Here is a 14,122-nt window from a genome sequence, read left to right on the forward strand (position 1 = left end):
CAGCTACTTCCGGGACGCTCTAGACAGGCTGGAGGACTCAGCACTCGGTGGTGTCTGGGAGCCAGACGCAGGCTTTCAAAGAGCTGGGTGGCCGCGGAGGGCGTGGGAGGAGAGGAGGCCTGGAGGAGAGGAGTGGGGGGGTCCCAGGGTGGGGGGAGGCGTGGGAGGGGAGAAGGCGCGGGCAGGGAGGGGAGAGGGGAAACGGGGCGAAGGCGGGGCGCGCGGCCTGGGCCCCGGGCTCCGCCCTGCTCTCTCCATCTGTAGAATGGGCGCAGGGCGTCACATTCCTTTCATGACAGTGAACCCTGCGCTGAAGGCGTTGGGGCTCCTGCAGTTCTGGGGCAGCCACAGGCGCCCAGGGTTTCGTGCCGATCAGCCCAGGACGGTCTTCCCGGTGCAGTTTCTGATGCGGGGAGGGCAGTGCTGCCTTCCGGTCACCAGGACCAGTGCTCAGCCCGCCTGCTTGACCCCCTTACTTAGCTGGGGTCCAATCCATACCCAATTTAGATGATTCAGACGATGGGATTTGAAACTTTTGAACTGGGTGCGACTTAAGTGAGTATGGACCTGAGTTGGTGCTGTAATGAGTTGAGGCTGTGGAGGACCTTGAGATGGGTGCGTGGATTTTGCCCATGGGACCTATGCAAATTTTGGAAACTGGAGGGTGGACTGTGGTGGGCAGAATAATGGCCCTCCAAGGATGTCCACATCCTAACTTCCAGGTCTTGTGAATACATTACTTACATGGCAAAAGGGACTGCAAATGCAATGAAGTTAAGATTCTTTAGGTGGAGAGATTCTTATGTTTATCAGGGTGAGCCCAATGTGCAGTCGTCCCTGGGTATCCATAGAGGATTGGTTCCAGCACTTCTCAAGGATGCTAAAATCCTTGATGCTCAAATCCCTTACATAAAATGGCTTCGTATTTGCATATAACCTACACACATCTTCCCGTATACGTTAAGTCACTTCTAGATTACTTATAATACCTAATACAATGTAAGCGCTATGTAGATAGTTGTTATACAGTATTGTTTAGGGAATAGTGACAAGAGAAAAATTTGTACATGTTCAGTACAGACACAGGTTTTTTTCCGAATTGTTTGTATCCTCGGTTGGTTCCATCTGGATGCAGAGCCCACGGGTTCAGATAGGAGGGCAGGTGCCATATCAGGGGTTCTTGTGGGAGTTAGGAAGCCAAGTGAGAGGACAATGGGATGAAAGAGGAGAGAAAAGGAAATGTGACAACAGACACAGGGGTTGGAGTGATGTGCTTTGAAGATGGAGGAAGGGGCCACAAGCCAAGGACTATGAGCGGCTTCTAGTGGCTGGGAGAGACAAGGAAACAGGGCCTCTCCTGGAGCCAGCAGAAGGAATGCAGCCTGCTGACCCCTTGATCTTAGCCCATGACACTCATTGTGCCATTAGACTTCTGAACCCAGAGCTGTAAGATATAAATTTGTATTGTTTTGGATCACCACGTTTATGGTAATTTGTTAGGACAGCAATAATAAACAAATACAGATTTGGGTAGCTCACTCCTCCTTTTTCCTTTTTTGAGGTAGGGTCTCACTCTGTTGCCCAGGCTGGAGTGCAGTGGTACATTCTCCTCACCGCAGCTTCAACCTCCTGGGCTCAAGGGATCCTCCTGCCTCAACCCCCAGAGTAGCTGGGACTACAAGCATGCACTGTCTCACCTATCTTTTTAATTTTTTGTGGAAACGAGGTCTAGCTGTGTTGCCTAGGCTGGTCTCGAGCTCGTGGACTCAAGCGATCCCAAAATGCTGGGATTCCAGGCACGAGCCCATGTGCCAGCTCACTCATCCTTAGGTCCGTTGTTACCTGGGCTCCCAGCACCCTCCCACCCTCTGGTTCTTCTCTTCCTCACCCTCCCTTGCTGGTTCCTTACTGACCAGGCCATTCTTTGGCTCTTTTTGTTCAACCAGTCCCCACTCCCTGGGTGATCTCCTCCAGTGTCATGCCGTTAAATACCATCCAACACTGGCAACGACCAAATTCATGTCTCCTGCCAGGGCCCCTCCCCAGAAATCCAGACTCCTATGTGCTAGCCAATGTCTCTGCTTAGCTTTGATCCTCCAGCCCAGCCTTGCTCCATCTGCATTGCCCCCACCTTCATGAACGGCAGCTCACCTTGCTATTCACTCAGGCTCAGCCTCAACAGTCTCCATCCCTCATATCCAGATCCTCTACCCTCAAAATCCAGCCAGTGTTTGGCCTCTTCTCACTCCCTCCAACTGCCCTCCCCAATCCACACCTCTGTGGTCTTGCCTCCTCCCCAGTCTCTGTTTCTGCCCTTACCCCCATACAGCTATCAACTGCTGCATCAAAAACCGCCCAAAACTTAGCAGCTTGAAACCAACTGTTTTTATTGCAGATGATTCTGTGGGGCAGGAATTTGGCCATGCTAGAGTCAGATGTGTTTCACAGAGGAGGCTGAGTCACGGAGCATACCAGGCACATGGCAGGACTGGAACCCAAGGTCCCTGGACTGGGGCTCCCATGGCAGGGTCTCCTGGGACAGCAAAGTCCTCCCTCCCCCGGAAGGCTGGCTCCATCCCTGGTGCGACTCTGCTGCTGAAGCAGCATCATTGGGGTAAATACCTGGGGTTCATTGTCTCACACCAAGAAGATTAAGGACATGGACTCATGTAGATGGGTTAAGGAGCAGAAAGTTTAATAGACAGAAGAAAGGAGAGAAGAGAGCAGCCCTCTCTTTCGAAAGAGGCGTCCAAAAGAGAAAAGCCAGCCTGCAGCAGACCCCAGCAGATTTTATAGGCAGGCTTGAGGAGGCAGTGTCTGATTTACAAAGGGCCCACAGATTGGTATGACCAAGGGTGATGTTTACATATGGCGTGGGGAAGGCTGGTCGCCCCACCCTAATCTTATTATGCAAATGGGCTTCTACTTGGCCAGCACCATCTTGTCTGCTCCTTGCTGTACACATGGCTGGCAAAGAGAAGGGAAGATGGAGCTGCCATTTTGATCATGCCTAGTCTCAGGTAGCTTTTTCCCATTGGCACAACTGCTGGCATTCACGCGTGCAAGCTTCCAGCTTGCTTGTCTTATGTTTGCGGCTCGATTTTACAGGCTGCTCTTTGTTAGAAAAGAAAATGATTTGGAGCCTGCTTTTCATTAAAAGGAAAACCTTACTGAGGACTTCCTTACCCTCACTATCTGCCTAAATAATTTATTTTTAACTCCTATTTTTAACTGCCACCTCAGGGACATGGGATCACGTGGTCTCCCAGGACTTGGACAGTGCTGGTGGGCAGTGGGGATTGGCATGAAACTGGGGCCTCATCCCAAGATGCATGGGGCTCCTCCAGGTGCTCCTACCATTACTCACGGAACCTTGGGCCTCTTCTCGAGGACCAAGTCCATTCTGACACTGGGAGGGGTCAGAAAGAGAGGAAGAAAATACACTAGCGTGTAATCACCCAGTGGGTTCATTTTGACCCCTGGCAAGATAGAGCTGATTTAGCAAGACAGGGGAATTGCCATAGAGAAAGAGTTTAATTCATGCAGAGCCAGCTGAACGGGAGACCAGAGTTTTATCATCACTCAAATCAGCCTCTCAGAAAATTCGGACGCTAGGGTTTTTCAAGGAGAGTCTGGTGGGCCAGGGAATGGGTGCTGCTGGTTGGCTGGGGATGTGGAAAATGGTCCTCCTGTGCACTGAGTTTGCGTCCAGGTGGGGCCACAGGACCGGCTGCGGGGTTGGTGGGCCTCGCTAGAGCCATCCATCAGTCATTAGACGTGCAAAAACCTGAAACGACATCTCACAAGGCCAATCTTAGGATCACAATAGTGATGTTACTTGCAGGAGTAATTGGGGGAGTTGCAAATCTTGTGGTCCCTGGAATAACGGCTGGGAGTCGTTTCAGTCTAACCTCAGCAGAGCTCAGATCCCCTCATCTTCCTAATGAATAACGGCTGGGAATCGTTTCAGTCTAACCTCAGCAGAGCGCAGATCACCCATCTTCCTAATGAATAACGGCTGGGAATCGTTTCAGTCTAACCTCAGCAGAGCTCAGATCCCCTCATCTTCCTAATGAATAACGGCTGGGAATCGTTTCAGTCTAACCTCAGCAGAGCTCAGATCCCCCATCTTCCTAATGAATAACGGCTGGGAATCGTTTCAGTCTAACCTCTGCAGAGCTCAGATCCCCCATCTTCCTAATGAATAACGGCTGGGAATCGTTTCAGTCTAACCTCAGCAGAGCTCAGATCCCCCATCTTCCTAATGAATAACGGCTGGGAATCGTTTCAGTCTAACCTCAGCAGAGCTCAGACTCCCCTCATCTTCCTAATGAATAACGGCTGGGAATCGTTTCAGTCTAACCTCAGCAGAGCTCAGATCCCCCATCTTCCTAATGAATAACGGCTGGGAATCATTTCAGTCTAACCTCAGCAGAGCGCAGATCCCCTCATCTTCCTCATGCAGTGGTGGCCTTTCGTTAGCTTTACAAAGATGGCTGAGTTTTGGAAAAGGGCTGTTATGCCCAGAAATGACTAAGGGCAGTTTGGAGATTAACTGGCTGTGGGTTAGATCAGATCTCCTTCACCATCACCATTTTCTCACTGTTAAAACTTTTACAAAGGCAGTTTCCAGTGTCTCCTGGGGGCTGGCTCTGAGGACTCCCTTCCCCCAGCCATGCCCCAAGTTCGCAGAGCAGAGCCCCCAGACTATGCCTGGGCCACTGCACCAGCCTGCTTCCCTACTGAGCGGAGCCTCCAGACCATGCCTGGGCCACTACAGCAGCCTGCTTCTGCACTGGCTTCCCCATCTCCACCCACAGTCAGAGTGGCATTTGACAGGGCCAGTCACTCCCCCTGCCCAAATAAGCCTGTGCACTCTGAATACAGCTCAGGTCCTCGCTGGGCCACAAGGCCACGCCGGAGCTAACCCCTCACTGTCCTCTCCGAAGCCCATGGGTCATCCCCCGTGCCTGCTATTCCCTCTGCCTGGAGGTGGGCTTGTATCCGGCAGTGTCCTTTGCTCAGGTGCCGGAGGCCTCAGGTTGGGGCAGTCCCAGCCAGCCCTCCTTCTGGAGGTCTCTGGATGACAGGCCTCTCATAGCAGGGGTGGCTGGGGGTGCTGGTGAGGCTGTGCCCAGCTGGAAGGGAAGGGTGTGCCTTGGGTCTCCTCCCCAGTCTGAGTTCACTCCAGGAAGGGGGAGTGGCAGGAGCAGAGGGTGCAGAGTGGTGGGGGTGGTTCTGAGGGTCATTGGAGGCCAAGGGGCCTGGCTGGTGGGGCAGGGGCTGGGGCAGTGCCCATCTCCACCTTAGTGCCCAGGCAGGAGGGGAGCTGGTTTGGGGCAGGGCCCTGATGACGCCTTTGTGAGAGCCAGGAAAAGGCACCTCCTCTGGGAACACAGGGCCCTGGGGGAGTTAGAGATGGGGAGGGCCTGTGGGCCCCAGCTGGGTGGGCTTGGGGAAGAACGCCTCTGAGGGGCTCCAAGCTGCACAGCCCTCAGGACTTGGTGGCCCCAACACACCCACATTTACACACATGCTTTTGCTTACACAACACACAACCGGTGCACACACCCACACTCACTTGCATTTACACACATGCCACACATTTGCACATTTGATCCACATGCACAGACAAGCATCCTCTCTCACACTCTCACACACACTATGTGGCACACTCCCATGCCCACATAGTTGGCACATACAAACCCTCACAGTCACATATCACACACACACAGCTTGCAAGTCATGGCCTTAATTTCCAGAACCCAAATGGGGGCTTGGCACTGAGTGCCCCCAGCCAACCCATGTGCATCAGTGGGTTTTCCTCCTGATCTGCAAGGGCGTTTTTCCAAAGCAAAGATGCTAAAAACTGACACCAGCGTGGCTTTGCAAGTGACATGCTATCTTTATTTTTTTAATTAATGCTGCATGAAATAAAAAAAATTACACACAGGGATGTGTGTTCCAGCATGGGACCGTGTGGGGCCCCAGAAGGTGGTGGTGGGACTCCCTGCAAGGTGAGTCAGCTCCCAGAAGCCCCAGGGCCTGGTCCGGCTGTCCTGGCCCCGGCCTCATGCCCTGCACTAGGTGGAAGACAGGATCTCCAGGGAACCCGGCTGCTTTGGGCCCATGGCAGTGGGGTGGGTGGGCAGAAGGCCAAGAGCAAACAGGAAAATCTGGAGTCCCTGGAGGCAACTGGCAGAGAAGAGGAAGGAGGCCAAGGGTGAGTCACACTGAAGCCACACTAACTGTTGTTATTGTACATGATTCTGTGGGTCAGGAATTTGAGCATGCTAGAGTCAGATGTTTCACAGTGGAGGACGCTTAGTCATGGGGCATACCAGGCACATGGTGGGACTAGAACCCAGGGCCGCTGGATGGGGGTTCCCAAGGCAGGGTCTCCTGGGACAGGAAGGCTGGTTCCATCCCTGGTGTGACTGCTTACCACCTCAGGGACGGGATCACTTGGTCTCCCAGGACTTGGGTGCTGCTGGTGGGGAGTGGAGATTGGCATGGAACTGGGGTCGGAACTGGGGCCTGATCCCCAAGATGCATGGGGCTCCCCCAGGTGCTCCTACCATTACTCAGGGAACCTTGGATCTCTTCTCAAAGACCAAGTCCATTCTGGCACTGGGGAGGGATCAGAAAGAGAGGAAGAGAAGGAAGAAAATACACTAGTGTGTGATCACCCAGGGGGTTCATTTTGACCCCTGGCAAGATACAGCCGATTTATCAAGACAGGGGAATCACAATAGAGAAAGAGTTTAATTCACACAGAGCCAGCTGACCGGGAGACTGGAGTTTTATTATCACTCACATCAGCCTCTCAGCCCCTGTCCACCGGATGAGGATCTGCAGGAAGCCATGCCCCTTGTGGCAGAACTTCCCAGAAAGGAGAACTGCCAGAAGATCCAGGCTCAGTTTAGGCTCAGGGGCTGCATTCAGTGTATGGCCAAAGTGTGAATGACAGGGGACAGGGATTCGCCTGTGACCAGGGTCAAAAATCAGAGGGTGACCACAGTCAGGGTTCATTCTGTGACCAGGATCAGGGCTCAGCCAGTGGCCAGGGCCAGGGCTCAGGGTGGGGCCGTAACCAGGGCTCGTTAGGTAACCAGGATTAGAGTTCAGACTGACCACAGTGAGGGCTCAGTTTTGGGGTGAGGTCAGAACCCAACCTGTGGTCAGGGGTGGGGCTCTAGGAATGTCACAGCCATGGTCTTCCGTATAGGAGCCATGACCACGGGGCCATCCTCAGACCAGCCACACCCTCAGTGCGGCGGATGCTGGGGCTGCGGATTCTGTGGTGGGGATCCTGTGTGTTGCCCCCTCCTTGGCCTGCACCCACTAGAGGCCAGCAGCACCCCTGAGCTGGAATAAGCAGAGATGCCTCCAGACATCACCAAACATTCCCTGGCGGTGCAGAGTCACCCACGTGAGAACCACTGCCTTACAGCAATCACTGTGTATCAAATCAGATCAACAAACACTTACACACCTATAAATATTTGAGGACGGAAAGTTCCAGGCTGGCACCTTGAACACAGAGACAGATAAGAAAACGTCTTGTGCGGGAGTGGCCAGAGTCCGGGCGAGCTGGGGCGGGGGGCGGAGGGAGGATGGGACAGGGGCTGTCAGCCACACACGGAAGCAGTTCATGACTGTATGAGGCCCCTTGTCCTGAGCTTACAGGACATGGGCTGGAGGGCGTGTCCAGAGGGAAAGTTCTGGGTGGGCAGAGTGGGCAAGCAAGGAGTCTGGGGGAGGCTGCAGTCACCCTGCATGGCCTCCAGTAAGTTCCTGTCCCTCTTGGGCTCAGGCTCCTCACTTGCCAGAGAAGAGACAATTTCCATGGAAAAGAGCCCAACCCAGTGGGTTCCAGGGAGGCAGGCAGGAGAGACCTCAGAAGGACAGGGGCTGACCTGGAGCCCCGGGGGAAGCCCAAAGGCAGATTCCTGGTGCCACTGAGTCCCAGGGAGGTCGGGTCTTGCATCGTCCCTGCCCCCATCAGTAGTGTCACCTTGATCCCAGACTCAAGGTGAGACAGTGGGAAGCTGATGTCCCCTGAACACCCCAGAAACATCTACCAGCCTTCCTGGACGGTGCAGGCCTTCCTGGACGGTGCAGACCTGCTGGGAGAGGGTCCGATTCCCCGAGACTTTTCCTGACTGCAACATCCTCACCACCCCCTAAAATGTGCCAGAGCCTTTTCAGGGGCAAAATCGAGGAGAGGAGGTAACAATGAAGGCCGGACAACCATCAGCGGGGACGAGAGAGCGTCAGGGGAGAAGGGGCCGGTCTCCCTCCAGACACACACTCGGCAGCAGGCAGGGCCACGGACCACAGTGGACCTACCAGCTTCCGGCAGGAACAACAGCATACCCAAGAGGGTTGCCAGGCAGAGTTATCTAACTCAGGGTCCATGTACAAAGGCAGGGGTCAGGTTGAAGGAGACAGCAGCGGCCACAAGTCCCCCTCAAAGCCAGCCAGCAGCAGGAAGCCACCAGCCCCTCGGGCTTGCAGGGATGAGGGGGAGAGCACAGTGACCAGAGGCTGGCCAGAACCCGGGGGACAGGAGAAGCCTGGCTGACGGGACCTGGGCCTTCTCTAGAGGGCCATAGCCACTGCCACCACCACCCAGCCACTGGCAGGAGAGCCTGGGCCTGCTCTAGAGGGCCATAGCCACTGCCACCACCACCCAGCCACTGGCAGCAGAGCTTGGGCCTGCTCTAGAGGGTCCTAGCCACTGCTACCACCACCCAGCTGGCTGGCAGGAGAGCCTGGGCCTGCTCTAGAGGACCATAGCTACTGCCACCAACACTCAGCCGGCTGGCAGGAGAGCCTAGGCCTGTACTAGAGGACCATAGCTACTGCCACCAACACTTAGCCAGCTGGCATGAGAGCCTGGGCCTGCTCTAGAGGGCCATAGCCGCTGCCACCACCCACCGCCCAGCTGACTGGCATGAGAGCTTGGGCCTGCTCTAGAGGGCCATAGCCACTGCCACCACCGCCCAGCGGGCTGGGCCTGCTCTAGAGGGCCATAGCCACTGCCACCACCTCCCAGCTGACTGGCAGGAGAGCTGGCCTGAACTTGCCTCTTCCACTCTCTCATCTCCTGCCTGTGGGAGCTGGACCAGCCTCCCAGGACATGGAGCAGGACGGAGAGGGGATCTGGGGCAAACAGAGGCCATACAGCCCTGGGCCTAGCCGCTGCCTCCTGCTACTGCAGAGGCTGCTAAAAGCTGCACTTCCCCGACTCGTTTGCAGCTAAAGTTCCAAGCTGAGGGGGTCACTCAAGGTCCTGAGGGTAAAGCACCTAGCCCAGGGCTCAGCCCACACTGAATGCCCCATAAATGAAGGCCCGTCCAACAGGGTCTCCTCCCCAGGGAGGCTGTCCCCTGTGTCAACAAGAGCCAAACTCTGTAAAATATTTGAAGACATTTATTCTGAGCCAAATATGAGGGACCATGGCCTGTGACACAGCCCCCAGGAGACCCTGAGAACATGTGCCCAAGGTGGTCAGTGCACAGCTTGATGGTACCCATTTTAGGGAGACATGAGACATCAATCAAATATATTGAAGATATACATTGGTTTAGTCCAGAAAGGTGGGCAGCTGGAACTGGGGGCTTCCAGGTTATAGGTGGATTTAAACATCTTCTGGTTGGCAATCGCTTGCAAGAGTTATCAATAGAAAGGAATGTCTGGGTTATACGGGGTTGTGGAGACCAAGGCTTTATCATCAGATGAAGCCTCCAGGTAGCAGGCTTCCGAGACAATAGATGGTAAATGTTTCTCATCAGACTGAAGGCCTGTGTTGATGTTAACGCTGGCTGTTCCAGAGTTCTGAAGGGAGGAGGGATAATGAGGCTATCCAACCCTTTGCTGTCATGGCCTGAACCAGTTTTTCAGGTTAACTTCGGAAAGCCCTTGCCAAGAGGAGGGTTCCACTCAGATGGCTGGGGGGCCTTAGAATGTTACTTTTGGTTTATACCGGAACAGCCCCTGCCCCTGTCCTTTGCAGCACCTGCTAATGATCTGTCAGTGACGCTGTGACCAAGGCTCATCACCCTGCGGGCCGTGGGCCCCAGAGGGCGGCACAGCTTCTATAGGAGCACAGGGCCCAGGGAGGTGCCCTCATCCTTGGCTGGAAGGCCGAGGCCTGGAGGAGTCTGGAGAAAGGGTCTCCCTTGTCTGGCCTTGCACTGTGAGGTGGGGGAGGTGGGAGAGGCATAATCTGGGTCTTGAGGACGTTTCAGCCCTCAGCCCGGGGTGGCTGAGATATGGCCCTGGGTAGGCTCTGTCCTCCAGAGGTGGAAAGAAGGACAAAGGGAGAGGGAGGTGCAGGTCGCTCAGGGAGGAGACTCGGACCTGCCCAGCCCCGGGGCCCTCACTGGCTCCAGGAAACCCGCTGGTGTTGACTGTGGGCAGTCCAGCCTCTCCCCATTTGAGGCCATATAAAGTCACCTGAGGCCCTCTCCACCACAGCCCACCAGTGACCACGAAGGCTGTGCTGCTTGCCCTGTTGATGGCAGGCTTGGCCCTGCAGCCAGGTGAGGCCTTGGCTGGCCCCCAGCAGGGAAGGGAGCAGGGGTGAGCCGGGGAGGCCAGAGGGATACCTGCAGGGCACACGGAGAGGAGGGGAAGGAAGGAGGAAGGGAGAGGAAGGGGGTGAGGCTCTTGCCCTAGCCTCCGCTCCTCCAGGGAAGCTCTTGGCACGACCAGGCAGCGACCTGTTCCCTGCCGTCCCCTGTGACCGGGGCTTGCAGGGGCAGCACGGAGTCACTCTCCTTCACCACCGTGGGGCAGGGCCTGGCTCCTAGGGGGCAGGTAGACAGACTGACGGATGGATGGGCAGAGATGCTGATGAGGAGCTGGGAGACATGGGACAGGAAGCCTCAGGCTAAGAAGTGGTTTTTGGGGCACAAGGGGGAGGTGCTGGGGGTGTCCTGCGAGGACCCGGGGGTCTACATCCGGCCCAGTCCCAGCACTGCAGCTTCCAAGGGTCCCAGGGAGCTGCTCTGCTTGAGGTGGGACCCTCCCGACCCAGGGTCCCGGGTTCAGTCACCCCCACAGCCGCAGCTTCCTCTTCTGAAACACACGGTCACAAAAGCAGCCACCGAGGGACTAAACAGGGCAACATTTCGGAGGCACTGAGCAGGGGGCCGTGAAGATGGGGAGGAGACATTGAGGGTGACAAGAGGGCGCCGAGGACTTCCTCAGGCCACCGCCATGGAGGCCCACCTGCCTGGGAGCCCCCATTCCTGGGGAGTGCTATGGGGCAGCCTCTGAGGCCCCTCCCACTCCACCCCACAGGCACTGCCCTGCTGTGCTACTCCTGCAAAGCCCAGGTGAGCAACGAGGACTGCCTGCAGGTGGAGAACTGCACCCAGCTGGGGGAGCAGTGCTGGACCGCGCGCATCCGTGAGTGGGGGGACGACAGCCGCCAGGCCTAGGTCTCTGCCACTGAACTATTAATCTTTCTGGCCATCTGTCCGCATCTGTGTGCTGTTTTCCTTCCACCTGTCCCCGACCCGTCCCGCACCTGCACCCCCAACAATCACCCAGCATCTGTCCCTCCAGCCATCCTCCTCCATCTGCCACTCCTCCACTCATCTGTCCCTCCCCATCCTCCATCTTCCACTCCTCCACCCATCTGTCCCTCCCCATCCCTGAGCTCACTTACTCACTCACCCCATTTCTGACGCTCAGCGGGTGGTCCATCTGCCTCGGACATCTGGATAGGGCTGAGACCAGGGCCGAGACCAGGCCCTCGCACTGCTTGCAATCCTGAGGCCAGCCCAGGGGGACTCTAGAGCATTAGGCAGGGTGGGACAGGAGGAGGCCTGGGGCAGGTCAGGCAGGTGAGCACACAGGGCAGCCCCATCCCCGGATCCCGCTGCTCCCCAGGCGCAGTTGGCCTCCTGACCGTCATCAGCAAAGGCTGCAGCTTGAACTGCGTGGATGACTCACAGGACTACTACGTGGGCAAGAAGAACATCACGTGCTGTGACACCGACTTGTGCAACGCCAGCGGGGCCCATGCCCTGCAGCCGGCTGCTGCCATCCTTGCGCTGCTCCCTGCACTCGGCCTGCTGCTCTGGGGACCCGGCCAGCTCTAGGCTCTGGGGGGCCCCGCTGCAGCCCACACTGGGTGTGGTGCCCCAGGCCTCTGTGCCACTCCTCACACACCCGGCCCAGTGGGAGCCTGTCCTGGTTCCTGAGGCACATCCTAACGCAAGTCTGACCATGTATGTCTGCGCCCCTGTCCCCCACCCTGACCCTCCCATGGCCCTCTCCAGGACTCCCACCCGGCAGATCGGCTCTATTGACACAGATCCGCCTGCAGATGGCCCCTCCAACCCTCTCTGCTGCTGTTTCCATGGCCCAGCATTCTCCACCCTTAACCCTGTGCTCAGGCACCTCTTCCCCCAGGAAGCCTTCCCTGCCCACCCCATCTATGACTTGAGCCAGGTCTGGTCCGTGGTGTCCCCCGCACCCAGCAGGGGACAGGCACTCAGGAGGGCCCGGTAAAGGCTGAGATGAAGTGGACTGAGTAGAACTGGAGGACAGGAGTCGACGTGAGTTCCTGGGAGTCTCCAGAGATGGGGCCTGGAGGCCTGGAGGAAGGGGCCAGGCCTCACATTCGTGGGGCTCCCTGAATGGCAGCCTCAGCACAGCGTAGGCCCTTAATAAACACCTGTTGGATAAGCCAGAGAGACCCTCTGTCCTTGCACACCCCAGGCGGGCACCGGATCCAGGGCTGTGTCTGGACCAGGGCCCTGGTCACATGGGCTGCAGCCTCCGCCCTAACAGGAGCAAAGCTTGGCCCCTGAAAGGAGGACGTCCCTGCAGAGGGTGGGAGGGCAGTTCCCAGGACTTGCACTTGCTGTGCTGCCTGGAGCATGTGGCCAGACCTCTCTGAGCCTTGCGACTCATCTATGACCCCTCCTTGCTGGGAGGATGGACCCAGAAAGTTCACAGGAAGGAGAGCGTTCCGGGGGGAGGGACTGCTACCATTCAAGCTCCTACCCATCCCCTTGGCCTGATTTGAGCACCCCCATTTTTCAAAATTTGTTTTAGAGCTGCACACCCACCATACAGCATTCAAACACTACAGCAGGGTCCCCGGTGACAGGTGGCCTCCCCCAACCCTGAACCCCAGCGCCTTCCCTCTCTGGGGTGCCCATTACACCTCCAGAGGCTTCTTTCTGGGAGAATCTGTGCCCCGTGAGCATCCCCAGGCCCCTGAGTGGGAGGACACCATCCACACTTGCCTTCTGCGCTCAGGGGAAGCCTTTTGCACACAGCCTGCTTCCCGCCCTAGGGCTAGGGGTGCAGCCTGTGACCTGGGTGGGGACCTGCTCAGGGTGAGGCCTCCAAGGGTGTTAGGGGTGGGGCTCGGGGGGCGGTTTCAGAGAAGAGGAGACAGAGGCTCAGGAAAGGGAACGGGTCTGTTGCCCACATCCCATACCGAGCCAGGATTGGAACCCTGGCCTGGAGCTCTGAGGGTGGGTCATGGAGCAGACAGTGGGCAGAGCTGTGCTGGAAAGAGCCAGGCCTCCCGTCTGACATGTGACTTCACGGGGAGACCTCCCTCCTGAACACTGGGGGCCCAGGGTGGCATTGTCAGCAGGGTGCAGCTCCCCAGGCCAGCATCTGAGTGACCCTGGGCACTGGTCACACCCTCCCCGCCTCGCCTACACCCAGCCCAGCCTGCCCGGCTTCCATGGTGAGCTCTGGGCTTCCATGGTGAGCTCTGCCCAACACCTACCCACCCTCCCAGGCCCAAGGCACACTCAGACCTGCCTTGGCCCAGGGCCTGAGTCCAGAGTTGAGGGCTAGGCCATTGTTTTCTGGGAGGGCCCTGCAGACCTGGGAGCCCGCACAGAACTCTCCACCCCTCAGGGCTCAGGTGCAGGAACTGGGGCCTGAGGCTCAGGCAGGTGCTTCTGGCCACACTGTGTCTCCTGAAGCTGCCGGCCCGGGCTTGCTGACCTGCTCTGGGGAGCATCAAGGACGCTGAGTGAGGGAGGCTGGTGCCCTGCCTGGCTCCATCCACTTAGCACACAGTTATCTAACCCTTGGTATGGTATGTTCCACTGCTGTTTCAGTTGCTCCTGGT

The 14,122-nt window shown here is 57.0% G+C and overlaps 1 protein-coding gene across 2 annotated transcripts, besides 3 other annotated features; it reads left to right on the top strand.

The window, feature by feature from the left end:
- Positions 1-150: an enhancer, noted in NCBI's record as "active region_28065". NCBI's record gives its function as "activates an Ori minimal core promoter by ATAC-STARR-seq in GM12878 lymphoblastoid cells {active_cell/tissue: GM12878}" and the evidence as "EXISTENCE:reporter gene assay evidence [ECO:0000049][PMID:35858748]".
- Positions 151-300: a silencer, noted in NCBI's record as "silent region_19603". NCBI's record gives its function as "represses an Ori minimal core promoter by ATAC-STARR-seq in GM12878 lymphoblastoid cells {active_cell/tissue: GM12878}" and the evidence as "EXISTENCE:reporter gene assay evidence [ECO:0000049][PMID:35858748]".
- On the top strand, positions 284-12,712 carry PSCA (prostate stem cell antigen). 2 transcript variants are annotated; one of them, NR_033343.2, is made up of 3 exons: positions 284-555; positions 11,314-11,421; positions 11,908-12,712. NR_033343.2 is itself a non-coding variant. In NM_005672.5 (3 exons), the coding sequence occupies exons 1-3, from the start codon at positions 10,526-10,528 to the stop codon at positions 12,117-12,119; spliced, it is 345 nt and encodes a 114-aa protein (NP_005663.2). In that variant the 5' UTR covers positions 10,482-10,525; the 3' UTR covers positions 12,120-12,712. The 2 variants fall into 2 exon arrangements, 1 of the variants encoding a protein (NP_005663.2); NM_005672.5 differs by lacking the exon at positions 284-555 and adding an exon at positions 10,482-10,550.
- Positions 11,227-11,873: an enhancer, noted in NCBI's record as "H3K27ac-H3K4me1 hESC enhancer chr8:143762658-143763304 (GRCh37/hg19 assembly coordinates)". NCBI's record gives its function as "activates a minimal SCP1, AML or CMV promoter by ChIP-STARR-seq in naive H9 embryonic stem cells {active_cell/tissue: H9 hESC(naive)}" and the evidence as "EXISTENCE:reporter gene assay evidence [ECO:0000049][PMID:30033119]".

This window comes from Homo sapiens, chromosome 8 (genome assembly GCF_000001405.40).
Source record: "Homo sapiens chromosome 8, GRCh38.p14 Primary Assembly".
NCBI lineage: Eukaryota > Metazoa > Chordata > Mammalia > Primates > Hominidae > Homo > Homo sapiens.